Raw genomic sequence first — 27481 nt, 5'->3', positions numbered from 1 at the left:
TTACAAATGTACAGTTTAGTGGCATTTAGTGCGTTCGCAAGGTTGCGCAATCGTTACCACGATCTAGTTCCAAAGCATTCTCATTACCGTGTACCCATTAAGCAGTCACCCACCATTCCTTTCTGCCCCAGCCCCTGGCAACCACCAATCTGCTGTCTCTGGATTTGCCTATTCTGGGCATTTCGTAAGTGTGGTCAGACACTAAGTGTGGCCTTTTGACTGGCTTCTTTCACTCCATGTCAGGTTTTTGAGGTTTGTCCATGTGGTGGCATGTGTCAGTGTTGCATTCCTTTCTTTTTCTTTCTTTCTTTCTCTTTTTTTTTTTTTTTTGAGATGAAATCTCGGTCTGTTACCCAGGCTGGAGTGCAGCGGCGCGATCTCGGCTCTCACTGCAACCTCCGCCTCCCGGGTTCAAGCGATTCTCCTGCCTCAGCCTCCCGAGTAGCTGGGAATACAGTTGGCTGCCACCATGCCCAGCTAATTTTTGTATATATTTTTTTTTTAATAGAGGCGGGGTTTCACCATGTTGGCCAGGCTGGTCTTGAACTCCTGACCTCAGGTGATCCACTTGCCTCAGCCTCCCAAAGTGCTGGGATTACAGATGTGAGCCACCACACCTGGCCGCATTCCTTTCTTTAAAATTATTTTTTTTGGCTCTTTAAATACATTTCTTTTTTACGCAGTAGTAAAGAGCCAACCCATGCATTCCTTTTTCTAAGTGAGTCAGATGCCGCTGTCTGGACAGACCACACTGCGTTCAGCCATTCATCTGTTGACGGACTCTTGGGTCGTTTTCGCCCATTGCGAACAGTGCTGCTGTGCACATTCTTGTACGTGTTGTTTTTTACACCCATTTTCAGTTCTTCTTGGGTCTGTTCTGGGGAGTGGAGTTGCAGGGTCATACGGTAACTTTGCGTTTGATCGTTTGAGGAACGGTCAGACTGGTTTCCACAGTGGCTGTTCCACGTTACACTTCTGCCGGCAATGCATAAAGGTTCCAGTTCCCACACCCTTGCCAACACTTGCTATTTTCCATGAAAAAAAATTCTAGCCATCCTGGTGGGTGAGAAGTGGTGGCCCATTGTGACTTTGATTTGCATTTCCCTGATGATGTCAAGCACCTTTTCATGAGCTTGTTGGCTATTTGTGTATTTTCTTTGGAGCAAGGTCTTTTCAAGTCGTTTGCCCATTTGCAGTTAATCTTTTATTTTTAAAATTTCACATTATAGTTTCAAAAGGGTTTTAGTGAAGTGTAGCACACGTATAGAAAAGCCCACATATAAAGGGAATAACACCATACATTTTTCAGTGAACATAGTCCCGGGTAACCAGCAACCAGATCAGGAAACAGAATTTTCACCCGCTTATCCCCCAACCTCCCAGGTGACCCCTGTTCTGGTTTCTATTGATATGTTAGTCTTGCCTGTTTTAGAACGTCACATAAATGGGATTATATGTGTATGCACATATCTGCCTTTTGATCAACATGATTGCATTATATTTTAAAGGTAGTAATAGTATTCATTTTTAAATTTTTTTTTACTTAAAATATTCTGGAGATTGTTCCATAGCGGTAAATATAGCATGTCATGGGTGGTGGTGTTGCTGTTGTTTTTTTCAGACAGGGTCTTGCTTTGTGGCCCAGACTGGAGTGCAGGCACATGATCACGGCTCACTGCAGCCTTGAACTCCTGGGCTCAAGTGATCCTCCCAGCTCAGTCTCCTGAGTAGCTGGGACCACAGGTGTGCGCCACCATGCCCGGCTAATATTTTTTGTATTTTTAGTAGAGACACGGTTTCACCATGTTGCCCAGGCTGGTCTTGAACTCCTGGCTTCAAGAAATTCTCCTGGCTTGGCCTCCCAAAGTCCTTGGATTACAGGCGTGAGCCACCATGCCTGGCCTAATTTGATGAGTTGCATCAGATGTATACACTTCACCTATATGGCAACCAAAATCAAGATAGCTGGGCCAGTTCACGTTAGTCCCCTCCCTCCATCCCGGTCCCCGGCAGCCACTGGTCTGGCTTCTCTCTCTAGAGTATTCCCTTTCCCCGATGTCGCGGAAATGGTGTTGTGTAGTATGATTCTTCTTTTCTTTTTTTTGCTTGGGGTAGTGCTTCTGAGGCTCACCTGTGTTGTGGTGTTCATCCATGGTTGGTTCTTTTTGATTGCCAGGTAGCATTCCATTGTGTGGATATGTGGCAATTCATTTATCTGTTGATGGATATTTGAGTTGTTTCCAACTATCAAATATGGATATATCATTCCATATTTGTTTTTGGTGAACATTCAGGCAAGTCACGCTCTTAAAGGCTTCCCAGCCTTTGCACAGGCTGTGTCCTCTGCCAGGCACTCCTCCACCATCTTCTTTTCCTAGCAAAGCCCAGCTTATTTTAAAATTCCCAGCTCAGATGTCCCCTCCTCCAGGCAGCCTTCCTGGGCTCAAAGGGTCTATTTCGCCAGATGGGAGGGAGTGGCGTCCAACAAGGGCTCACCTTGGCATTCTATCCCAACTCTGTGTTCCAGGGCCATGGTCTTTGACCTTGGGGGTGGTGGGGACAGAATCATAGAATCAGCCATGTTAGGCAAAAGGCCACAGTGTCCCCACCACTGTTATCTAATCAGCTGCCTGGTCTAGTGTGGTGGAAAAAAGTCATCCTGCTGATCAAAAGCAGGGCAAAGTCCATCCCTTAACCCGGGTGGAGGTGGGGCAGAGGAGGAAGGGTCACTTAATGACTGCAGGGCTGACCCTCTGGTGCCCGGGGTCTTCAGACCTTGTTCTAAGCACTTTACCTCCATGGACTCATTCAAACCTCACAGCAGCCCATGAGGCGACACTCTCCTTACGCCCATTGTATGGTTGAGGAAACTGAGACTCGGAGAAGGTCAGTGACCCATCCCTGATCACCCAGTTGGACAGGGCTGCGCTGGGTCTCTGAAGATTCCCTTTGGGCAGTGCTGAATGAATGGGCTGAAACCCAGGGCCTGAAAGCCTCTTCTTTGGGGAGAGAGAGAGAGAGAGAGAGATTGAGACATGGACACGCGGCCGGATCCCATGACTTCTTGGTTTAGCCCTGATTCATCTTCAGAACCAGGCCAAGCGGCCAGGGGAGGAGGAAAGCATGGTGAGATTCCAAAGGAGAAAGGTATCTCCAGCCCAGCAGCCTCTGCTGAGAAACCAGGTGGGAGAGGGAGGCTGCAAAGGGAAATTGAGGCTGCGTGTGTGTGTGTGCGCGTGTGTGTGCGTGTGTGTGTGTGTGTGTGTGTGAGATGGAGTCTCGTTCTGTTGCCCAGGCTGGAGTGCAGTGGTGTGATCACAGATTGCTGCAACCTCTGCTTCCTGGGCTCAAGTCATCCTCCCACCTCAGCCTCCCAAGCGGCTGGGACTATAGGCACCTGCCACCACGGATGGCTGATTTTTCTATTTTTTGTAGAGATGGAGTCTCCATGCTCAGGCTGGTCTTGAACTCCTGTGCTCAAGTGATCTGCCTGCCTCGGCCCCTCAAAGTGCTGGGATTACAGGTGTGAGCCACCGCACTGGGCCTTGTTTTGCTTTTTTAAAAAAGCAGCTTTATTAAGGTGTGATTGATATAAAACAATGGCACATATTTAATATATGCAGTTTGATGGGCTGGTGTGTGCACACCGGGAAACCCGCCCCTGAGATCCAGGTGCTGAACATACCTGTCACCTCTACGGTTCCCTCCTGCCCCCCACTGTTTTCTGTGGTGAGAACATATAGTTCGTGCTCTACTCCCCGAACACATTTTCCAGGGTTCTGGGTTTTGATGCTGTGTTTTCTATGGGGGGAGCACCAGCAGCTGGATGTGTCCCCCAGGCTGGTGAAGGGGTCTGGCCTGTGGTGAGCAGGGTCCCCAGGGCTGCAGGGTCTGTCCCAGACAGAGGGACCTGCAGTGCATGGGCTTTGAGGCTGGGTGAAGGCCAGGACTGAAGGAAGGGCTGGGCGATCGGGGCCTGAGAGCTGGGAGGGGCTGGAGCTGGTGCCTGTGGGCTGTGGTCGCATGGGGTGGTGGGAGCCGCCATGGGGTGGGGAGGGCGTTACCGAGGGGGCAGGACTGCTCTTTGATCCAGCTCACATACCACCTCCCCCAGGAAGACCTCCCGGACTCCTCAGTGCCCTCCAACTATTGGTTGAATCTCTCTCCAGCCTTAGTTGTGCCTCAGTTTCCTAATCTGTAACATGGGGGTAATAATAGTGGAGGTGGCTGCCTCAAAGAGTAATGGTGCTGTTCAGAGGATGAGAACACAGTGAACAGCATCACCAGGCTCATGGCGCACCCCGGAAATGCTCGCTTCTGTTACCTCATTAATATTCAGTTTATGCGCCTTCGTTTGCACCTATGGGCTGCTCAGACCATAAGGTGATCCTTCTGGTGCTGGCAGCTGGGTAGGAAGACACGTTTATCAATAAACAATTATGGCACTTGAAGGCCAGTCTCTGATCTCCTGATTTTTCCAAGAGAACTCTGAAATCCAGATTTTACATTACATCTTCCAGTTTCTTGACAAAGAATTCAGCTTCTTCATTGACACGCCACGTAGGTCAAACTAGACACAGTTGTAGCTACAGTGTCACTAGCTCCTTCGTACAGATGAGAAACTTGAGGTTCACAGGGGCTGACTTGCCCAAGTGGCCCCGTGGAGTGCGACCCAGGGTCTGGCTGCCTCCAAATCTGCTCCTTCCGGGGGACATGGGGCTGGCCCTGACTGGCCAGCTCAGCTGTCTGCCTCCTGTAGAGCCTCTGCCTGTTGGTTCTGGCTGTCCTTGTCTTAGAAGGCCATGTTCAAAAGAGGGTGGAAGGTGACGCAGCTGCCTGGCTTTGCGACATCAGCTCTAGTCTAATGGGCTGGGTCACTCCTGCCGGGCTCTGACGTGGTGTGGGCACTGAGGGGCCCGAGATATGTCCCGGCTGGGTTGAGGGTGGGGGTCAGGTGGACTAGGGGGGACCTCCCTGTGACACTGGGGCAGCGAATTATAGATCTAGAGGAGGAAAGCTGGCAGAGGAGTCCAAGTGGACCCCAGGCGTGTTTCCTATAGTCCCTTTAAGAAAACCATGTTTTTGCAACATTTTTAAATCAGGAGATTTCATATACATTTCTTTATTTCTGGTTTTCATGGAAAACTTCTGTGTTCTCATCTTCCGACTGGCTCACTCAGCCACACAGGGAGGCTCTCTCCCAGCGTCTCCCTACCACAGGGCCTTTGCACAGGCTGTGGTTGCTGTGGAATGTCCCCTGCGCCTCACCTTCTAGATTTGTGAGCTCCCTTCCTCACTGCCTTCTGTTTTGATTTTGGGTCTAGGTTGTGTTTGTGTGTGTTCTTTTTCTTTCTTTCTTTTCTTTTTTTTTTTTTTATGAGACAGGGTGTTGCTTGGACACCCAGGCTGGAGTACAAATGGCGCCATTACAGCTCACTGCAGCCTCGACCTCCTTGGCTCAAGTGACCCTCCCATCTCAGCCTCCCAAGTAGCTGGGACTACAGGTGTGCAGCACCATGCCCAGCTACTTTTTAAAAAATTATTTTTTATAGGCCAGGCACAGTGGCTCATGCCTGTAATCCTGGCACTTTGGGAGGCCAAGGCAGACGGATCACTTGAGGTCAGGAGACCAGCCTGGCCAACGTGGTGAAACCCCACTTCTACTAAAACAAAAACAAAAACTAAAACAAAAATTAACCAGGTATGGTGGTGGGTGCCTGTAGTCCCAGCTACTCGGGAGGCTGAGGGAGGAGAACTGCTTGAACCCGGAATATGGAGGTTTCGGTGAGCCGAGATCGCGCCACTGCAGTCCAACCTGGGCCACAGAGCAAGACTCCCTCTCAAAAAAATAAAATAAAATAAAAATACAAAAATTAGCCAGGCGTGATGGTGGGGGCCTGTAGTCCCAGCTACTCAGGAGGCTAAGGCAGGAGAATCGCTTGAACACAGAAGCAGAGGTTGCAGTTAGCCAAGATCATGCCACTGCACTCCAGCCTGGGCAACAGAGTGAGACTCCATCTCAAAAAATAAATAAATAAATAAAATTATTCTTTATAGAGACAGGGTCTTGCTATGTTGCCCAGGCTGGTCTCAAACTCTTGGGCTCTGGTGATCCTCCTACCTCGGCCTCCCAAAGTTCTGGGATTACAGGCATGAGCCATGGTGCCTGGCCTATATTTCACTTACGTGATGACTGTCTCAAATCCCAGTCTCTCCCCAATCCCTGCTGTGTTTTCTCTGTGCTCTGTCACGTGGCATGCGTTTTACCTGAGTTGTTTGGTGCCTGCCTTTCCTCCGCTATGGTAAAGCCCCACATAGCTGGGCTTTTGGTCTGTCCTGGTCATTCTCCCATCCCCAGCTCTTAGAACCCGCCTGGCAGGTGGTAGTGCTCAGTGCTTGCTTGTGGAATGAATGAATGATCCCCCTGGCCACACGGAGCCCATGTTCCTGCATGAGGCTATCCCTGCCCTGAGCCCATCCGCTACCCTGAGCTCCGGCGCTCCCTTTAGGTGGTGCATGGGCCCCTGTTTACCACAGTCCCTTGACTGGTGTCACCTGTTGCTGTTAGGACATATTTTAAGATGCATTATGACAGCATGGATAGGTTGCCTGTTTAATTCCATAAGCTCCAGGTGCGACAGCCTCATGTGCGAAGGGCTTTCCCACCACCTCCTATCCCAAGCTCCCGCCGAGGAGCCCCTTCCCTGGCCGGGCTCGGGCAGCTGTTCCGGAGCCTTGTGGTGGGGCGTGGGGCCCTCATCACTCTCCTCACAAGCGTACTTGTCCCTTCCCCTGCAGAACGTGCGCATCGACCCCAGTAGCCTGTCCTTCAACATGTGGAAGGAGATCCCTATCCCCTTCTATCTCTCCGTCTACTTCTTTGACGTCATGAACCCCAGCGAGATCCTGAAGGGCGAGAAGCCGCAGGTGCGGGAGCGCGGGCCCTACGTGTACAGGTGAGGCTGTGTCCAGGTGAGGGTGGAGGGGCCGGCTGAGGCTGGGCAGGGGAGGGGTCTCAGAGTGGACGGGATGGGGAGGCTGCTGACTGAGCCCCAGAGATTGTTCCGGAAGCAGGCAAGTCATAGTCGGGGTAAGTGCTAGTCCCAGAGAAGTTTTTGTTTTAGGGTTTTTTTTTTTTTTTTTTTTTTTTTTAGAGATGGGATCTTGCTATGTTGCCCAGGCTGGTTTTGAAGTCCTGGGCTCAAGCGATCCTCCGCCTCAGCCTCTCAAAGTGCTGGGATTACAGGTGCGAATCACCAGACGTTGCCTAGAGAGGTTCTTTATGGAGCAGGGAGGGACCAATGGTGTGCGTCTGGGTGGAGGGTGCATGTGTGAGTTACACACATACATACACACACATACACATACACATACACACATACATACATACACACGTACATACACATACACACACACATACATACACACACATGTACCTACACATGCATACACACATACACACACACACACACACACACACACACATGCATGACCAGGAGCAGGGACCGACCCCCCAGACCCTATCTGGGCCAGAGGACCGGGTGGGTCAGCACGGGAAGGGGTCAGCTGTTTGTGGAACATGCTGGCCCAAGGACCACAGAGTTGTGCCTTTGCTTTCTGCTTGTCCTGTACCTGGCTGTGGCCTAGGGGAAGTGACTTCATTCCTCTGAGCCTCAGTTTGCCCGTCTGCAGACTGGAGAGACACAAGAGCCCCTTCATGGGGTCACCGGGACACTCAGGATGCACTCGGAGCTCTGAGACGGCTGGCGGATGTGCCTGTTACAACTCCCTTACCTCCTGGCGTTTTCACAGCACCTCCCCTCCTCCACACCCCCACTTCCCAGTTCACAGACAGGGGAGCTGACTTGCCCCCGGCACACGGTGTTCCAGGGATGGGGCGGGCAGAGGGTGTTCCCGCTGTTGGAGACCCACAGTCTGGTTCTGGGAAAGCCAAGATGAAAACCCAGCAAATGTGCCTGAGGTTTGGGAATGGGAAACATGAATCAGCTGCTGCATTCCGTTCACTCATTCACTCATTCGCTCGTTCATTTAACAAATGTTTACTGAGCACCTGCTAGGTGTTGGCTGCCGTTCTAAGTACAGGGGACCCAGCAGTGGACAGAATGGGCAAAAATGCCAAAGCTCTCTATACTCCTTCATTCTGTGAGCACTGACTGAGCACCTCCTGTGTGCTGGGGGCGCAGGCAGACCAAGGCCCTGCCTCACCAAGCTGATGTTCTGATGGGGAGAGAGTAAAGAAGTGGACAAATAAGGGGAAATCAGGCAGCCATCAGTATTGTGCAGACAAAACAGTGTGAAGCCGGAGTGCAGGAGGGAGGGTGGCCTTGGGGCTCGGTCTGACTGGAGGGTCGGGAGCACATCTGCAAAGGGACACTCACTGGACCCGCATGGTGGGAAGAGGCCCTGGGGAGACAGAGTCCCGGGCAGAGCATGTGCAAAGGTCTGAAGGCTGGGACAGAGGCCTGTGCGGCTGGGGTTACGAGGGAGGGAGACAGTGGAGAGACGAGGCCTGAGCCTTGCTGAGGGCCTCAGAGGTCACGTTAGGAGCCTGATTTTAACCTGCATGCAAAGTGGGGTTGTGGTCCAGAGCATGGCACGATCTGATTTCTACTTTTTTTTTTGAGACGGAGTCTCTCTTTCACCCAGGTTGGAGTGCGGTGGCGCGATCTCGGCTCACTGCAACGTCCGCCCCCCAGGTTCAAGCGATTCTCCTGCCTCAGCCTCCCGAGTAGCTGGGATTACAGGCATCTGCCACCATGCCCAGCTAATTTTTGTATTTTTAGTAGAGACGTGGTTTCGCCATGTTGGGCAGGATGGTCTTGAACTCCTGACATCAGGTGATCTGCCCACCTCAGCCTCCCAAAGTGCTGGGTTTACAGGCATGAGCCACTGCTCCCGACCTGATTTCCACTTTTCAAAGATTCTTCTGGATGGTGGAGAGTGGCTTGGAGAGATGAGAGATCATAAGGACAGCAGCAGCAACAGTCACAGCAGCTGATGTTTACCTCGTGCTTTCTCTGCACCCGGCGGCTGTGTTGATTGCTTTCTGGGTATCTGATTGCTTAATCCCCACAGCTGCCCTGTGAAGTAGGGCTTGTGATTACTTCCTTTTGTAGATGGAGAGACGATGGCCGTGTTGGGTGGGGGAGAGCAGAACGAGGCCGGGTGGGCGGCGACACCATGTCCTGCAGTGGGCAGGCGGCGGGAGGGACAGACTTGGCGAAGGGGCCGAGCTCAGCTTTGGCTGTGGGGCCGGAGGTGTGCACAGACGTCCAGGGCCCCTGGTTCCCAGGCAGGCATTGCAGGCGAGTAGAAGGGAAACGTCCCATGCAGCGGGGCGGGGCGTCTGACCCACTGGCTTCCCCCACAGGGAGTTCAGGCACAAAAGCAACATCACCTTCAACAACAACGACACCGTGTCCTTCCTCGAGTACCGCACCTTCCAGTTCCAGCCCTCCAAGTCCCACGGCTCGGAGAGCGACTACATCGTCATGCCCAACATCCTGGTCTTGGTGAGGCTGCCCTGTGGCCCACGCCGCCTCGCACCCTGACCTCGTCCCCTGTCTCTCCTCCCGCCTGCCCCTTGTGCAGAGAGCAGTCCCTGAGGTGGTCGGAGCGTGGGGACTCACGCCTGGTGGGTGGCTTTCGGCCCTGTGCTGTCTCCACCACCCCCAGTGGGTTCTGAGTTTCCCAGGTGGGTCCACCTGTCTTGGTTTGGAAGTCCTGGCCAAAGTACTTTTTTTTCCCTTTTCAATTTACATTTCTGAGATCTCCAAAAGGGGCTGTCTTGTTGAGGGCTGAGCCACAGGCCCGCCTCTGGGACTGGGGCTGGAGTTCACTTAGCCTGAGTCCAGTGGGGTGCAAGGGGGAGAAGGGGTTCTCGGGAGCACATGTGGCCTTGGCACTGGAGGAGCAGAGGGTGGTTCTGGTGTCCCAGATGCCCCACGTGGCCACTCCAGGGGCCTCCTGCACCCCAGCATTTCCCTTCATGGGCTCTTTGCTGTGAGGCCCAGCTGGGGCCAAGGGAGGATGGGCCAGCCACGTCCAGCCTCTGACACTAGTGTCCCTTCGCCTTGCAGGGTGCGGCGGTGATGATGGAGAATAAGCCCATGACCCTGAAGCTCATCATGACCTTGGCATTCACCACCCTCGGCGAACGTGCCTTCATGAACCGCACTGTGGGTGAGATCATGTGGGGCTACAAGGACCCCCTTGTGAATCTCATCAACAAGTACTTTCCAGGCATGTTCCCCTTCAAGGACAAGTTCGGATTATTTGCTGAGGTACGTGTGGCCTGGTGAGAAGCCAAAGATTCAGGCCTGTGTCCTGTCTTCCCCTCACACAGCCTGGACACTGGTCACCAGCTTGCTTTGTAGCTGGCTGGGGATCTAGTGGCTGTGGGTTGTAAGTGACTGAGAACCTGACTCAAACCGGCTTGAGTGAAATGGGGAATGTTGGGGCTCATAGAACTGAAAATGCTAGGGTTGGATTCAGGTACAGCTTGATCCAGGCTCAAATGATGTGACTGGGCCTTAGCTTAGCAAATTGGAGGCTTTGCTGGAGGAAGGGGGCATGGCTGCTGGGGAGTAATATCACAAGCTGACTCTTAATCTTGACTCTTGGCAACCTGGTAGGGTCACTGACTGGGCTTCGGAGCCAACATCTCGTCCATGGAGGGTCTGACCCTGACCTTGGCTCCCTCACCGCAGGTTTCACTGAGTCCTTGGGACTGCTCCAGCCTCAGCCATCTCTTTGGTCTCTGCTGATCAGGGTAGAGTGCTGGGGGGGATATCGTGGTGCTGCGTGTGATAGATACTCAGTACGTTTTTGTCAAGGGTGACGGGCTCCTGTCGTGTGGGTAAATGAGCAAGTTTGGGCTAAGTGGCATGATGCTGTAAAGGCATCTTGTAAATCCTGAAGTGCTTTGCAAATGAAAGTTATTACAAAGTCCCTAGTTTAGTATAATCTACGTTTGACTGCATATAATGAAAACCTCACAAGAAAAGTCTAGCGGTAGGCTGTTCAGTGTTGGTGTGGTGGCTTCATGGTCTTAAGTGATCTGGAAGCCTTCTACTACTGTGCTCTGCCATCCTTGGCATGTGGTTTTCATCCTCAAGATAACCTCATTGTCCAAGTTGGCTGCTAGAGTGTCAGCAATCACATCACATTCCAGGCAGCACAGCAAGAAGGAAAAAATGGTGGGGCTTTGGGGAGCAGATGGAGGAACTGGGGGTAAAACAGCGTGTTCCAGTTTCCTCCCTCTTAGGGAGGAAGAAAACCAATGTCCACTTCCTTTCTATTGGCCAGAACTGAGTCACATGGCCACACCTAGCTCCAGGGGAAGCTGGAAAGGTAGCCTTTTAGCTGGGTGTGCTGATGCTCTGAGTATGGTTTGGGTTTTGTATGAAAGAGTAAGGAGAGATTGGGCTTTGGGTAGTAACTGGCAGTTTCTGATGCTCTCCGTCCATTATAATGATCATTTAAGTATCCTATTGGGTGAGCATTTATTAATAATAACAATAATAATGAAAATAAAGACTATCATTTTGAGCTCTTACTGTGTCCGGTGCACTGTACCTGGCCGTTTTTGCACATGAGTCCCTTTAATGCTCCCCTTTGTAGTGGCTCTGGTTATTCTTGGCTCCACATGGGCACGTGACAGACACACCCGGGATGCTGGGCTGGGGCCTTGTGCTGGGTCCTGCTCTGGAGGTCTGTGATGGGTGCAGTCACTCAGCCGGGCAACCTTGGAGCTCCTCAGTGTGCTCCACCCTGCAAAGCACTTCTAGATATTTCCTTCAGTCACTCATACCACTTTGTGCTTTGCATGTCTTTGGGATTAGAAACCAGCTTCTGGGAAATGCTCTCGGAGCACCAAAGCCTGGGCCCCACTATCAAGAACCTCGATGGGTTAGGACAGGCCAGGTTTTGCTGCTGTGACAAGCAGCCCCGGAATCTCCATGGCTTAGAACAACCAAGACTTATTCCTTTGCTTGCACTCCACGTCCAGTGTGGGTGACTGGGGCACCCGCGCTTGTGGTGGTCACTTGGGGATCCAGGCTGAGGGAGGCTCTGTCTTGACACATACCTCCTTGGCTGCTATAGCAGCGGCAGAGAGCCCGGTGAAAGGCGTGTGCACAGTCCTTAAAGCATCCCCCCAAGTGACATGCCACTTCTCCTTTTTCATTGCTCAGGGAGCTGACCTGGCCATGCTTTATTTTATGCTGGAGTAGGGTGTGGTGGGGGTGATCTGCCATTTACCTGGGAGGAAAGCCAGACTCTCCTGGAGTTAGGAAGGGAGGGTGGAACACTGCAGCCACAGAACCCGGGACCATTCCTCCTAGAAAGCTCCCAAGCCTCCTCTCGGTCCCCAGACACTGGGCATTTGGCAGTGAACCAGATGCTGGGGGCCCTGTCCTTCTGGTGGAGGGGGAGGAGGGCTCAGCCCAGAATGTTCAGACCAGGCCGGCTCAATGGCAGGCCTAAGCCTTACGATGCTGTTCCCTGCTGTGTCTGTAGCTCAACAACTCCGACTCTGGGCTCTTCACGGTGTTCACGGGGGTCCAGAACATCAGCAGGATCCACCTCGTGGACAAGTGGAACGGGCTGAGCAAGGTGAGGGGCGAGAGGCGAGGGCCCCTGTCGCCAGGGAGAGGGGAGGGTGGGCCCGGCCATGGCTGCTCGGGAGTGGCAGGGACCAGAGAGCTCCTTCTTCCTTTGTCGTGAAGAGGGTGCTGGGAGGATGAACACTCTTGAAGTTGGAGGAGGGATTTTACCTCTGGTTAAAGCTTGACCACCCAGAGGGGCAGGTGGGGTTAGTGATTGCTTACTGAGCTTACTGAGCACCTGGCATCTGCTGGGAACTGAGTGCTTTCTTCCTTTCGATTCTTTACTTACAAAAATGTTTTGAAGGCCGGGCGTGGTAGTTCATGCCTGTAATCCCAGCACTTTGGGAGGCCGAGGTGGGGGGGATCACCTGAGGTCAGGAGTTCGAGACCAGCCAGGCCAACATGGCAAAACCCTGTCTCTACTAAAATACAAAAAATTAGCTGGGTGTGGTGTTGCATGCCTGTAATCCCAGCTACTCATGAGCTGAGGCAGGAGAATCGCTTGAACACAGGAGGTGAAGGTTGCAGTGAGCTGAGATCACGCAATTTCACTTCAGCCTGGGTGAGAAGAGTGAAACTCGGTCTCCAAAAAAAAGAGAAGAGATTCACATTACAAAATAAAACAAGAGAGGGAGATAAGTGCCCTTAGTATCACCTCCCACCCCTACCCCTTGCCCCAGAGGAAACCCACAATTATCAGTTTGGGATATATTCTTCCCATCCATTTTTACCCATGTGCACACCTATATGTACGCAGAGAAATACGGAATTGTTTCTTCTTTGAACATCATGAAATCATACTACGTGCATTGTTTTGCAACTGGCTTTTTTCACCTTCGTGACCTTTTCTCAATATGTGTGAAAATGACTGTGTGACTTCCCACTCCCCACTCCCCGTGGTAGTTACTGCAAAGACCCTGAGGGCTAGGGACAAATCGTACCCCAACCGGTGCCCAGAGTGGCAAAAATCACCATCTGCAACTGGCAGTAGCCATTCACGATAGATGGAGTTCACATTCATTGTGGCTTGTATATTCCAATATACTGTACATGTGCACGTGATTTTAAACATCCTCATCATACAGAAGATTGGAAAGTGAGCAGTTGGTTTTGTCGAGTCTGGGTCTCGCTCCCCAGAGTCAGTTAACCTGACAGGTTCTGTTTTGGGGTTGCCCGGTGGTGGCCACCATTATGATTTTAAGTAGTTTGCCTGTGTGCCGATTGTTTTCAGGAGGTGCCTGTTGACTTCCGCTCTGAGGGCTGAGCACAGCCGCGCCCCACCTCTCACCTCACCTGCTCACCACACTTCTTTTCCAGATTCAGGCTGGAAATGTGGGTGATAGGCCTATTTTGCAGATGAAAGAACTGAGTCCCTAGCGAAGTTACACATTCAGGGGTCTGGGAGGGGGAAGCTGTGGTAGGCATTCTCTCTGTGTGTCTACATAGCCTGCCCTCTTCCCACCGTGCCAGTATTGGGAATTGAGTGGCCGTGCGTGCACCAGGGTGAGTTAGGTGTGCAGCACCTGAGAGGGCTTATTAAGGGGCCTTGGCCCTACTGAGGGGTCTAGTCTGGATGCTTCCCCCCAGGTTGACTTCTGGCATTCCGATCAGTGCAACATGATCAATGGAACTTCTGGGCAAATGTGGCCGCCCTTCATGACTCCTGAGTCCTCGCTGGAGTTCTACAGCCCGGAGGCCTGCCGGTAATCACTGGGACTCGGGGCCTCCTGGGTTTCCTGGGTAGCTCATGGCCAAATTCTGTGGTGTTGGCTGTGCACTTGGAAAGCATTTTGACTCATCGTGGATTTGACTCAGTAGCCCTTGGCACCAGCTTGAATTCTCTTTGGTCACACCACCAAAAGCCAAACTCCAGCTGCCAATGCCTCTACACAGCCCAAAGAGAGGCTGCTGGTGGTGGTTTGCAGCCAGGTGGTGCTGGGCTGGGAGGAGGGGGCAGGACATGTCAAGTCACAGGGGGCCATAAAATGGAGGCGAGAGGTGGGCTCCCTCTGGCGTCTGGCTGGTGGCCCCCATGACCATCTGGGTGCTGAGACATCAGCTGGCTCTGCTTGGCCCCTTCAGGCTCAGCTCTGTGTCCCATGGTCCCAGTTGTGGGGTAAGAGTAGACAGTGGGTGGCTCCTACAGCCCTTTTCTGGAGGCCTTGCTGTGTCGTGTTCCATTCTGGTCACTCTGGAAAAGTCCTTTACTTAGGAATTCACTCATGTGGACCTTGACTTATCTGCCCTCCCAGCAAACCCTGTGAAGCCCTACTGTGTGCCAGGTGCCCGGTAGTGAGAGGGTGGGCCAAGTCTCCGTTCCCCAGGAGGCTGTGTCCTATCAGGGCAACTCAGGCAAATGCACAAACACTAGAGTGTCAGAGAGTGACAGTGCTTTTGCTCTGTGTGGCCACTTTTTACTATTTTAAGTTTTTACTTATTTATTTATTTAATTTTTTAGAGATGGGGATCTCGCTATGTTGCCCAGGCTAGTCTTGAACTCCTAGCCTCAAGGGATCTTCCTGCTTCAGCCTCCCAAAGTGCTGGGATTGCAGGTGTGAGCTACTGTACCCAGCTGACTTTAAAAGCTGAATTTTAAACTTAAAGAAAAGTTGCATGAGAAATACAAGTGGCCCCCGTCTCCCCTTCACCCAGGTTCACTAGCCGTGTTAAGCCCCCCACCCCCTCTTCTCGCCGAGTGTCTTTTTCCAGAACCATCGGAGAGTAGGTTGGAGGCTGTATGCCCCCTTACCTCCAAATACTCAGTGGGTGTTTTTCAGAAACGAGGACATTTTCTTACATAACCATAATGCTGTTATCAAAATGAGAAAATTTGGCATTGACATAATACTGTTATCTAAGCTGGCACTTTCCTATAAATCAAAATATGCAAGGCACACATGCAATTTAAAATTTTTTAGTGGCTGCATTAATACAAGTAACAAGAAATTGGTGAAATTATTTTTAATAATGTATTTTATTTGACCTCATATATCAAAAATGGGATCATTTCAAGTGTTATTGATGAGGTTTTTTTTTTGTTTTTTTTGCTAGCAAGTATTAGAAATCTGGAATGTATTTTATACTTGCATCCCAATTTGGACTCACCCCATGTCAAGGGCGGGATGGACAGCCATGCGTGCTGAGTGGCTGCCGTGGACAGAGTGGGTAGCACAGTGCATGTTCAAGTTCAGAAGTGCTTTTGAGAAAGTACAGGAGCATGAATGGATGGAGGGTGGATGGGGTGGGTGTGGGGGACGGTGCTGCCACCCGAGGAAGTGACAGCTGAACTGAGATCTGACTGAAGGGCTGAAGTCTGGTGGATGAAGATGCCAGAGGAGACTGTTCTTAGGCAGAGGGAGCAGTGATGCAAAGGGCCTGGGGCAGGAGTGAGTGTGCTTAGGAACTGCAGGGAGGCCCTGGGCACAGGAAGTTGGGGCAGGGCTGAGCAGAGCTTATGCAGGGGCTAGATAAGGTCAATGAATCCTAATGGTAGGTTAGACTAGAAAGGGTCACAGATTTTCAGCAGGGGCATGATATATTCTGTTCTTTTTTTAATTTCATAACTTTCAAAAACAATTTTATTTTTAGAGACTGGGTCTCACTATGTTCCCCAGGCTGGTCTCACACTCCTGGGCTCAAGTGATCCTCCCACCTCGGCCTCCCAAAGTGCTGGGATTACAGGTGTGAGCCATAATGCCTGGCCTCTGTTCTTTTGTAAAACTCCATCTGGCCACGGCTAATACATTGATGTGGGTGGGGAGGCAGAGTCGGAGCGGAGAGGCCTGTTAGGAGGTCGCTGCAGCTCCGCGGGTGAGAGATGGGGGCGGTTTGGACCCGGGAGGTGGTAGCGCCCGTGGGGAGAAGTGGCTGGATCTGGGCAGCCTTTGGCAGGGCCTGGCTCTGGCCGCCGGGTCTGGGTGTCCCCTCTCATCCTGTCTGTCCCCTGCAGATCCATGAAGCTAATGTACAAGGAGTCAGGGGTGTTTGAAGGCATCCCCACCTATCGCTTCGTGGCTCCCAAAACCCTGTTTGCCAACGGGTCCATCTACCCACCCAACGAAGGCTTCTGCCCGTGCCTGGAGTCTGGAATTCAGAACGTCAGCACCTGCAGGTTCAGTACGTGCCGTCCCCTGTGCTGGGATGGCGGGAGGGTGTGAGGGTGGGGCCAGCTGAGGGTTTATCTGCCCAGTGCTGTCTGCTTAATCTCTGGCCTCTGTACTCTTGATAATCCCATTAGGCGAAGATAATGAGGCCGCAGGAAGATAATCTGAAAAGGAAGAAATGCCAGGTCTATTAGTTGCTGTCACAATATATTGCCATGAACTTCAGGGCTTAGAACAACACACACTGGTTATCTTGCAGTTCTGTAGTCAGAAGTCTGCGTGGGTCTCACCGCGCTCAGAACAAGGCGGCTGTGTTCCTTCTGGAGGCTCTAGGAGAAGCTGCGTCTGCCTTTTCTGGCTTCCAGAGGCCCCTCTGTGTTTCTTGGCTCCCGGGCCCTTCCTCCACCTTTGAGGCCAGCAACATGGCATCCTTCTGATCCACTCTGTCCTCATATCTCTTCCTCTCCTCCCTCTTCTGCCCCCTCTTCCAGTTCTAAGGACCCTTAAGACCACATCGTGCTCTCCTGGATACCCCAGGACAATCTCCCCATCTTGTTTATTATTATTTTTTTTGAGACAGACTCTCACTCTGTTACCCAGGTTGGAGTGCAGTGGCGCCATTTCAGCTCACTGCAACCTCCGCCTCCCAGGTTCAAGTGATCCTCCCACCTCAGCCTCCCGAGTAGTTGGGACCACAGGCGTGCACCACCACACCTGGCTAATTTTTTGTATTTTTGGTAGAGATGGGGGTTTCACCATGTTGCCCAGGCTGGTCTTGAACTCCTGACCTCAAGTGATCTGCCTGCCTCGGCCTCCCAAAGTGCTGGGATTATAGGTGTGAGCCACCGCGCCCAGCCTATTTTTATATTTTGAGACAAGGTATCACTCTGTAGCCTGGAGCTGGAGTATAGTGGTGCGATTATAGCTCACTGCAGCCTCGACCTCATGGGCTCAAGCGATCTTCCTGCCTCAGCCTCCTGAGTAGCTGGGACCGCAGGTGTGGGCCATGATACCTAGCTAATTTTATTTTTGTAAAGTTTTTATAGAGATGTTGTTTCACCATGTTGCCCAGGCTGGTCTCAAACACCTGGCCTCAAGTGATCCACCTGCCTCTGCGTGTTAAAGCAATGGGATTACAGGTGTGAGCCACTGTGCCCGGCCCAATTTCTGGACCTTCAAGGCAGCTGCTGAGCAGGCCCAGCGCCCGTTTACCCTGTGACCTGACATAGTCATGGGTTCTGGGGCTTAGGGCATGTACGTGTCCTAAATGACATGAAATGAGGCTGGCGAGGGTCTGTGTGTTACGTAACATCTTCTCGTTCCGCAGTGTGGGTGGCTAGGCAGATGTGATGACTGCTGTTGGCGTCGGTCCCCTGACATTGTTGGTGTGTCTCAATTGTGTGCCAGTCCCTGAGACACCCCCACCTCAAGTTGCTCAGTTTGGACCCTCGGGCGTCAGTTTGTTTCCCTGTCCTCACCCAGCTCTTCCAGTGCGTCAACAAGCCCAGATGGCTTTACCTCCAGGTTGAGTCCTCACTCCTTCCTCTCTCTTGCTCCCCACCCCAACCCCCGCCTCATTGTCCAGGCCACGGACACGTCCTTCCTGGTGATCCAGCCCTTTCAGTAGCCCATCCCTCAATGCAGTGTTGCCGCCTTACCATCCATCCCCTAGACCATCCAGTGCGGTCACTGCTGGCCTCTTGCGGCTGTTTAAATTGAAATTGATTTAAACGAAATCAAATTAAAAGGCAGTTCCTTGGTTGCACCGGCCGGAAGTTAAATGCTCATAAGCCATGTGTGTCTAGCAGCTACTGTCTTGGATAGCACAGATAGAGAACATTTCCATCATCATAGGAAGTTCTGTAGCACTCCCGACAGCAGCGGAGGGATCTTTTAACAATGCAGGCCGAGTGTGGTGGTTCACGCCTGTAATCACAACCCTGTAGGAGGCCGAGGTGGGAGGATCACTTCAGGCCAAGAGTTCGAGACCAGCCTGGGCAATATAGCAAGACCTCTCTCTGGCCAAAAAAAAAAAAAAAAAAAAAAAATTAGCTAGGCATGGTGGTGCATGCCTGTAGTCCTAGCTACGTGGAAAGCTGGGGTGGAAGGATGGCCTAAGCCCAGAGGTCAAGGCTGCAGTGAGCTGTGATCACCCCACTGCACTCCAGCCTGGGCAACAGAGGAAGACCCATCTCGAAAAATATGCAGATGGCCGCCGTCCTCTTAAAATGTCTGGCAGCTCTGTCTGCATTCATAGTGAAGTCCAAACTCCCACCATGGCCCTGGGCCCTGCAGGATCCAGCCCCTACCGGCCTCTCTGAAGGATCCAGCCCCACCAGCCTCTCTGACTCCATTTCTCCCTACACGTCCCCTGTTCATTATTCTCCAGCCCTGATGCCTTCGCCCTTTTTCTAAAGTATACCAAGGTCAGTGCCTTGCACTGTGGTTTGCATGGGTTGCTTCCCCTGCTTGGAGAGCTCTTTGTCTGGATTTCTGAGTGGATCATCCCTCACCTTCTTTTGGCCTGCATGCAAATGCCACCTCCTCCGGGAGGCCTCCTCTGATTTCCTGTTCTAAAGTTGCCCCCTCTCCCACCTGCTGCTCCCTATGGCTTCCTCTTCTTGTCTTCTTGTCTTGGTCTTCTTGTCTTCCTCTTCTTGTCTTGGTGCTCATTGCTCCCTGAACTCATGGACTGTGGATTTTATTCATTGCCCCTTCCATTCACTGTCATCCCTGTAGGCAGGGCCCCAAGCTCCTCTTGTTGGTTTTATTCTTAGCTTCTAGAACTGTGCCCCGCATGTAATGGGTACTCATACAGTATTTGAATATAGGGATGGTGAGTGCGTTCTGTACTTAGGAAATTGAGGCCTGATGCTGGATGCGACCAAGGTCACAGGGTTGGTAGGACCGGAAGCGGCCCTCTATTTGACTGTGTCTTGCCTTCTGGGAGCCTTTTTGGTTGAAGCCCCGTCCTCCAGCTGGCAATGGCGACTCTAAAGGACTGGTCTGCAACAGGGGTCAGGAGGAGGGGCTGTCAACAGATTGGATGCTTTCCCCTATTTCAGGCAGAATGGAACAACCTGTGAATGAATGGTTTGGAGCTGGGGCCTGGGACGCCCGCTGCTGTCTCCTGGTCCTGTCTGGCCCGTCTGGGCATTGGCCTCTGCTTGCTTCATTCTTTGCTGGTATCGGCGGGGATTTCTGCTCCTAAGGTTGAGGATGTTACACACCCAATAGGTGTGCTACAGCAACTGTCGCAAGTGGCAGATGCTGGACTCCACCTGATTTAGGCCAAAAGGGCACTTCTTGGTTTGCGTAATGAAAAATTCCAGGGCAGATCTCTGCATTAGGCACAAATCCAGAACTTAGATGTTGTCTGGAAGCTGCCTCTGCCAAGTCCCAGCTCAGTTTTCTGCTGGACTGGCTTTGCTGCCAAGCAGGCTCTCCCTCCTGGCTGCCTGTGGAGGCTCCAGGCTCACCTCCGCCCAGCTCCGAGTCCTGCAGAAAGGGGGCCACCTGTGTTTCCTTCACTCCAGCAGAAGTTCCAGGGTTTGCTCTAATTGGTCTGCCTGGCTCCCATGCCCAGCTGTAAACCAATCACAGTAGCCGAGGTGGACTATGCTGATTGGCCAGGCTTGTGTCACATGCTCAGATGGCTCCTGGGTGGGCCGGCCCCACTCCAAGCACAAGGCTGAAAGTAGGGAAGGCTTAAAGTGGGGGTGTAGGTACCAGGAGAAGGGGGAGAAACGACATGCCCATCCCCTCCAAGGGCGTGGGACGAGGTGTGTCCCGCCTTCTCTTAGCACATCTGCCAAAAGAATTTCAAAAGCGCAAAGGAATTTTAAAATCTTTATTTAAATAGAGTTTTTTCTTATATTTATTTATATTTTTGAGACAGGGTTTCTCTGTTGCCCAGGCTCAAGTGCAGTGGTGCAATCACAGCTCACAGCAGCCTTGACCTCCTGGGCACAAATGATTCTCCCACCTCAGCCTCCCAGGTAGCTGGGAGCACAGGTACACACCACCATACCTGGCTAATTTATTTTATCTTATTTCAATTTTTTTTTTTTTTTTTTTTTTTTTTGTAGAGGTGGGGTTGTGCCGTCTTGCCCGGGCTTAGTTTTTGCTTCTAAATAAAATATACATAGATACAAAGAAGTTCCCAGATGACTCATGCAGTTTTTGGGGTTTTTTGCTTTGTTTTTTGAGACAGGGTATCACTGTCGCCCAGGCTGGAGTGCAGTGGTGCCATCATGGCTCACAGCAGTCTGACCTCCATCACTCAATTGATCCTCTTACCCCAGCCTCCTGAGTAGCTGGGACTACAAGCGGTTGCTACCATGCCCAGCTAATTCTTAAATTTTTTTTAAGAGACGGGGTCTCACCATATTGCCCAGGCTAGTCTTGAAGTCCTGGGCTCAAGTGATCCTCCCGCCCAAAGTGCTGGGATTACAGGCATGAACCGCTGCGCCTGGCTGACACCTGCAGTTTGAAACTTCACAAAGTCAACGCACCCCGTGGCCAGCACCCTGACTGAGAAACAGACAGGACAGGCCCTGGATGCCACTCGCGGTCCTCCCACCGCCCTGACATCCAGCCCCGGAGCTCAGCTGGTTTGCATCTTCATGTGAATGGACCCATAATGCTAGACTCCTTTTCCTCCTTTTCTGGTCCGTGCACCCCTTAGCACCCTGGTGCAATTCGTCCGTGACGTTGTGGGTGGTAGCAGCCCCTCCTCTCCGTTGCTGTGTGGTGTTCCATCGTGGGTGCCACCTCCATCTTCTCCTTCCATTGCTCCTAGGCATCCAAGTTCCTGTTTTTCGACCGTGACCGTGGTGCACACGTGTCGTTTGGTGCACCTATGTCTGTGTTTCTGTGGCATGTTATCTAAAGAGTAAAGGTACCATGCCTTTGCCTTTCTGGGCCTTGAAATCTGTTGGACTCAGACAACTCCCTCATCTCAAACCTCCCTGTTGCGTGAGGGCATCCGACTTGCCTCACAGAGCCAACTAATTATCATCGGTGGCAATCCTGGGCAATTATGTCTGGCTAGATATGCCATAAAGCTACAAATTAATTACCACTTACAGCTGGGAAGATCTCTCTCGGCGTGCTTGGTAATAACATTGGAAGAAACACGTGCGTGGGTCCATGCAGGCTCGGCCTCTGAAGCAAGGGCGGGGGCTGGCAAGTTGTTCCATCCCACCTCGGTCTCCACCTGGGGCTGTGGGCAGGCCAGGGCTTGTTTGAGATTCCTCCAGAGTTCGGCTCCGTGGCTGCCTCCTCCACGGAGGAGGCACGAGAGGCAGCGTTTTCCAGATTGTGGAGGACACTGTCCCTGCGGGTGCTTGGGATGGCTTCAGAAGGTCCAAGGAGGTGAGAGTGAGCTTCTGGGTCCATGCTCTTTTCCTCCTTGCCATCACCTGCAGGAGAAGGTCTCTTGGTGTTGAGAGGACTTGAAGAGCCTTCCACACTCATCAGCCTTTTTTGTTTTGTTTTTTCTTTTAACAGAAAAAGAGCAGGGCTCCCAGTTAAAGCCTCATGCAGTAACAGGTTCTAGTTAGAACTTACAACATCATTATTTTCCACGGTATTTTTTAACTATGTCTTTTTTTTTTTTTTTTGAGACACAGTCTTGCTCTGTTGCCAAGGCTGGAGTGCAATGGTGCAATCTTGGCTCACCACAACTTCTGCCTCTTGGGTTCAAGCGATTCTCCTGCCTCAGCCTCCTGAGTAGCTGGGATTACAGGTGTGCACCACCAGGCCCGGCTAATTTTGTATTTTTAGTAGAGACGGGGTTTCTCCATATCGGTCAGGCTGGTCGTGAACTCCCAACCTCAACTGGTCCACCCGCCTCGGCCTCCTAAAGTGCTGGGATTACAGGCGTGAGCCACCGCGCCCGGCCCTTTATTTTATTTTATTTTTTTTGAGACACAGTCTTGCTCTTTTGCCGAGGCTGGAGTGCATTGGTGCAATCTTGGCTTACTGCAACCTCCGAAAACTATTGTCCAGGCTGGAGTGCAGTGATGCGATTTCAGCTCCCTGCAGCCTCCGCAACCTCTGCCGCCCAGGTTCAAGCAATTCTCCTGCCTCAGCCTCCCGAGTAGCTGGGATTACAGGCACATACCATGCTCAGCTAATTTTTGTATTTTTAGTAGAGACGGGGTCTCACCATGTTGCCCAGGCTGGTCTTGAACTTCTGACCTCAAGTGATCCACCCGCCTTGGCCTCCCAAAGAGTTGGGATTACAGGCATGAGCCACCGTGCCTGGCCTCTGATTCAAGTTTTTGTTTTGTTTTGTTTTGTTTTCCTTACTGAGGCAAAATTCTTGTAACATAAAATTAACCATTTTAAAGTGAATGATTCAGTGGCATTTAGCAGGGTCACAAGGTTGTGCAGCCATCACTTGTATCTCGTTCCAGAACATTTCTGTCACCCCAAAAGGAGACCCAGACTCATCAGAAGTCACTCCCCGCCCCCTCCCCCAGCCCCTGGTCACCACCCGTTGGCTCTGTCTGTGGATTAGCACTGTCTGGATCCTTGTGAGCTTTTTAAAAAAAAATTGTTTTTCTTTTGAGACAGGATCTTGCTCTGTTACCCAGGCTGGAGTGCAGTGGCACGGTCACGGCTCACTGTAGCCTCAACCTCTGAGGCTCAAGCGATTTTCCTGCCTCAGCCTCCTGAGTAGCTGGAACTACATGCAGGTGCCACCATGCCCGGCTAATTTTTGTAGAGATAGGATCTTGCCATATTGTCCAGCCTGGTCTCCAATTCCTGGGTGCAAGTCATCTGCCTGCTGAGGCCTCCCAAAGTGTTGGGATTACAGGTGTAAGCCATGGCGCCTGGCCCTCGTGAGCTTTTGAGAGAGGCCCGCTCGCTGTTCCTTGTTAACTTGTCCTTCAGGCCTGTTGTCCATTGTCCCGAGGGTGAGCTGGTGTTTGCCTGGTTTGGTTGGTCAGTGGCGAGGTTGAGCTCACATTTGTAGCAGGTGTGTCTACAGGGACACACTCCTGTGGATGCAGGGAGATCTGGCCACAGGTGCACACACCTGAGCTCCGATCATTGCTGCGTGTCCTGCAGGGGACAGTGTGGGCTGCTTGGCTTGCGCTTGAGACTCCCCTCCCCACACCCAAGTTCAAATCTGGCGTTGCCTTTTCCATCCGTGCCTCCCTAGCACCCTTGTGCACCATGCATTTCCCCCTCCCCACGCTTGCTTCTGCCTTCCCTTCCACCTGGAATGCGCTTCCCGGGCATCCTTCACCTGGCTCCTGTGAAGAGGCCTCTTCCTTCTTTTGGTCTCTCCTGTCAGAATCAGCGGCTCCTGCCTCACCCCTTCTCTGGCGCAGAGCTTGTCCCTCATCACAGGGCCTGGGGCTTTTTACAGAATGGAGGAAGGGATCCTCTCTGTCTGGTTATCTTGTCATCGCCACGGGGGTGCCCTGCAGACCACAGCTCTGTGCAGACCTCCGGCCTGGCAGGACCTGCCAATATACTGTCCTTGTCTGATGTCCCCTCCCTGCCCCTCTTCTAGGTGCCCCCTTGTTTCTCTCCCATCCTCACTTCCTCAACGCTGACCCGGTTCTGGCAGAAGCGGTGACTGGCCTGCACCCTAACCAGGAGGCACACTCCTTGTTCCTGGACATCCACCCGGTGAGCCCCTGCCATCCTCTGTGGGGGGTGGGTGATTCCTGGTTGGAGCACACCTGGCTGCCTCCTCTCTCCCCAGGCAGAGAGCTGCTGTGGGCTGGGGTGGTGGGAAGCCTGGCTTCTAGAATCTCGAGCCACCAAAGTTCCTTACTTCACCCCGACTCCATAGTTCAAGGTAGTTCAAGGGTTTTATGATCCCTGTACTGGTTTCTATAAATGGGCTCTAAGACAGTAAATTAATTAGAACTTATCAGCTGGGATGTCTCCTACATGTGAGCTGGAGGCAGCCCTCTGGATGTGTCAAGATACCATAAAGATCTTTAGGTACCAAGAAGAGCCTGGGGTATTTTGCAGATAAATCACACAGGGAATTTGTCCCGTGTGAAGTTCTGTCTACAAGCAGGGAGCTGGACATGTGGCCCTCCCAAGGACACTCCTTCAGCTTGTGGCCTCTTCTCTTGGCACCTCCGTTCTCTGTAAAATATGCCCAGTTGGTCTTGGTGGCTGCTACCATTGATTCAGAAATCTGTGGTTTTCTGTTTCCTGGGTGGGCACTTGTGGTCTATCCCATGGGCCTTTAACAAAATTATTATTATTTTTGAGACAGGGTCTCACTCGGTTGCCCAGGCTGGGGTGCAGTGGCATGATCATGGCTCACTGCAGCTTCGACCTCCCTGGGTTCAGGTGATCCTCCCACCTCAGCCTCCCTAAGTAGCCAGGACTACAGACATGTACCACCATGCCTGGCTAATTTTTATATTTTTTGTAGAGACGCGGTTTTGCCATGTTGCCCAGTCTGGTCTCGAACTCTTGGGCTCAAGCGATCCTCCTGTCTTGGCCTCCCAAAGTACCGGGATTACAGGCATGAACCGCCGTGCCCAGCCAAAATTAATTCTCTAAATTGAAGAAGAAAAGCTGTCTATTTTTGAGTGTACAACATGATGTTATGATGTATGTATATAACTTGTGGAATACCTAAATCAAGCCAATTAACATATGCATTACCTCACATACTGATGATGTATTGGTGCTGAGAACATTTAAAATCTACTGTCAGCAACTTTCAAGCTTACAATACATTGCTATTCACTCTAGTCACTGTGTTGTATTGTATAGTACAATACAGTGACTGTTGCTCTATTTCCCAGTAGGTCTCCTAAACTTACTCCCCCTGTCTAACTGAAATTTTGTATCCTTTGACGGACTTCCCCATCCCTGCCCCTGGTAGCCAGTATTCTACCCTCTGCTTCCATGAATTCAACTTTTTTTCTTTTTTTTTTCTGAGATGGAGTTTCACTCTGGTTACCCAGGCTGGAGTGCAGTGGCACGATCTCGGCTCACTGCAACCTCCGCCTCCCGGGTTCAAGCAATTCTCCCTGCCTCAGCCTCTCAAGTAGCTGGGATTACAGGCACACACCACCACACCCGGCTAATTTTTGTATTTTTAGTAGACACAGGGTTTTGCCACGTTGGCCATGCTGGTCTCGAACTCGTGACCTCAGGTGATCCACCCGCCTCGGACTCCCAGGTTGCTGGGATTATAGGCGTGAGCCACTACGCCTGGCCTGAATTCAACTCTTTTAGATTCCACATACAGGTGAGGTCATGCAGGGTTTGCTTTCCTGTGCCTGGCCTATTTTACTTCGCATAGTGTCCCCAGGTCCGTCATGTTGTCACAAATAACAGGATTTCCCTGTTTTTATTTATTTATTTTTTGAGACAGAGTCTTGCTGCGTCACCCAGGCTGGAGTGCAGTGGCATGATCGTGGCTCCCTGCAACCTCTGCCTCCTGGGTTCAAGCAATTCTCCTGCCTCGGCCTCCAGAGTAGCTGGGATTAAAGGCACACACCACCACACCTGGCTAATTTTTGTATTTTTAGTGGAGACGGGATTTCACCATCCTGACCAAGCTGGTCTGGAACTCCTGGCCTCAAGTGATCCGTCCACCTCGGCCTCCCAAAGTGCTGGGATTCCAGGCGTGAGCCGCCGCGCCCAGCTGGATTTCCCTCTTTTTAAACGCTGAACAGTATCCCACTGTGTGTGCACCACGTTTCTGCTGCCCATTCATTCACTGACGGACACTTCGCTTGATTCCGTATCTTGGCCACAGCGTACATGGGAGTGCCCCTGTCCCTTTGACACACTGATTTCATTTCCTCTGGGGGGATGCCCGGCAGTGGGATCACTGATCCGATGGTAGTTCTGGTTTTCGTTGTCTGAGGAAGCTCCACACGTTTGCCACAATGCTGTGCACCTTAGGCCCTTCCCGAAGCTCCATGGCGGATGCTGTTCTGCACCATTTTTCTTTGTCCTCCCAGGCCTCCTTAGCCGCTGACTAGGCCCTCTCGGCCCCGGCCCCAGCCCTGGTCTCTGCCTTCCCTCTTTTAGTTAATTCCTCCTCCAGCCTCTCTTGCTCTGCTGGCTTCCGGAGAATTCCACCATGAACACAGTCTCCTGTGCGCTCTCAGTGATCGCTTTCCTTTCAGGGCACGGATTTTCTTTCTTCCCCTCACATCAAGAAAGAAGGGGTTAAGTTTGGGAGCCCAGAGAGAGGCAAACAGCTGTTTTGCCGCAGCCACTTTAGCTGCTGCGTCCAATTCTACCTCCAGATGAGCTTGAGGCCGACGGGGAGAGGAAGTGGCCTTTATTTCTTTGTTTTTTGAGCTGGGCACGTTGGGGAGGGGGATCAGGAGATCAGCTTGCTGCCTGTTGGCCTTTAGCCTTGAAAAACGAACGTGTGTTGGAAGCTGCTTCCGTGTGGCCACTTTTCTGCTCCTGAAACTGGGGGAGGGCATGGGGACGGGGGACTCAACAGGACGCTGCTTATGGTGGTATCACAGCTAAGACTTATTGTAATGACAGAATTCAAAGCAAAATTAGCAAAGGGAAAAAGCACCTTGGGTGAAGTCGGGGGAGGCCAGGCTGGAGCTTCCAGAGTCCTCTTCCAGGGGGTTCCTACAGGATGCACTTAATGTCTTTAGCAATGAGTTGTGACAACATGTAGGAGATGTTGTCTAGCAGGGAAGCTCATTAGAAATTCAGTGCCCATGGTGTTTTGCTAGGGGCCAGTCATGTGGGCACCTCTGCCTGGCAGGTACCAAA

The 27481-nt window shown here is 51.9% G+C and overlaps 1 protein-coding gene across 20 annotated transcripts in view, besides 4 other annotated features; it reads left to right on the top strand.

The window, feature by feature from the left end:
- Positions 1–27481, top strand: part of SCARB1 (scavenger receptor class B member 1) — an 87009-nt gene that overhangs the window by 39359 nt on the left and 20169 nt on the right. For 11 of the 20 annotated variants that reach the window (NR_160419.1, NR_160417.1, NR_160416.1 and 8 more), the window contains exons 2-8: positions 6799–6956; positions 9392–9533; positions 10101–10304; positions 12541–12636; positions 14217–14332; positions 16579–16745; positions 24264–24382. Coding sequence is in view for 11 of the 20 variants with exons in the window: in NM_001367986.1 (NP_001354915.1) it covers positions 6799–6956; positions 9392–9533; positions 10101–10304; positions 12541–12636; positions 14217–14332; positions 16579–16745; positions 24264–24382 (1002 nt within the window). In the remaining 9 variants the exon portion in view is untranslated. The remainder of the gene's footprint in view (positions 1–6798; positions 6957–9391; positions 9534–10100; positions 10305–12540; positions 12637–14216; positions 14333–16578; positions 16746–24263; positions 24383–27481) is intronic. The other 9 variants (NR_160420.1, NR_160422.1, NR_160421.1 and 6 more) reach the window with 7 other exon arrangements.
- Positions 7278–7777: an enhancer, noted in NCBI's record as "H3K4me1 hESC enhancer chr12:125301275-125301774 (GRCh37/hg19 assembly coordinates)". NCBI's record gives its function as "activates a minimal SCP1, AML or CMV promoter by ChIP-STARR-seq in naive H9 embryonic stem cells {active_cell/tissue: H9 hESC(naive)}" and the evidence as "EXISTENCE:reporter gene assay evidence [ECO:0000049][PMID:30033119]".
- Positions 10674–10843: an enhancer, noted in NCBI's record as "experimental_25196 CRE fragment used in MPRA reporter constructs". NCBI's record gives its function as "activates a minimal promoter by MPRAs in K562 erythroleukemia cells, with activity observed for both the introgressed and non-introgressed 12:125298294 variant alleles {active_cell/tissue: K562}" and the evidence as "EXISTENCE:reporter gene assay evidence [ECO:0000049][PMID:34662402]".
- Positions 25981–26491: an enhancer, noted in NCBI's record as "H3K27ac-H3K4me1 hESC enhancer chr12:125282561-125283071 (GRCh37/hg19 assembly coordinates)". NCBI's record gives its function as "activates a minimal SCP1, AML or CMV promoter by ChIP-STARR-seq in primed H9 embryonic stem cells {active_cell/tissue: H9 hESC(primed)}" and the evidence as "EXISTENCE:reporter gene assay evidence [ECO:0000049][PMID:30033119]".
- Positions 26492–27002: an enhancer, noted in NCBI's record as "H3K27ac-H3K4me1 hESC enhancer chr12:125282050-125282560 (GRCh37/hg19 assembly coordinates)". NCBI's record gives its function as "activates a minimal SCP1, AML or CMV promoter by ChIP-STARR-seq in primed H9 embryonic stem cells {active_cell/tissue: H9 hESC(primed)}" and the evidence as "EXISTENCE:reporter gene assay evidence [ECO:0000049][PMID:30033119]".

This window comes from Homo sapiens, chromosome 12 (assembly GCF_000001405.40).
Source record: "Homo sapiens chromosome 12, GRCh38.p14 Primary Assembly".
Classification (NCBI taxonomy): domain Eukaryota; kingdom Metazoa; phylum Chordata; class Mammalia; order Primates; family Hominidae; genus Homo; species Homo sapiens.
Note: the sequence above shows the minus strand (reverse complement) of the source record. Positions and strands in the feature narration are given on the sequence as shown.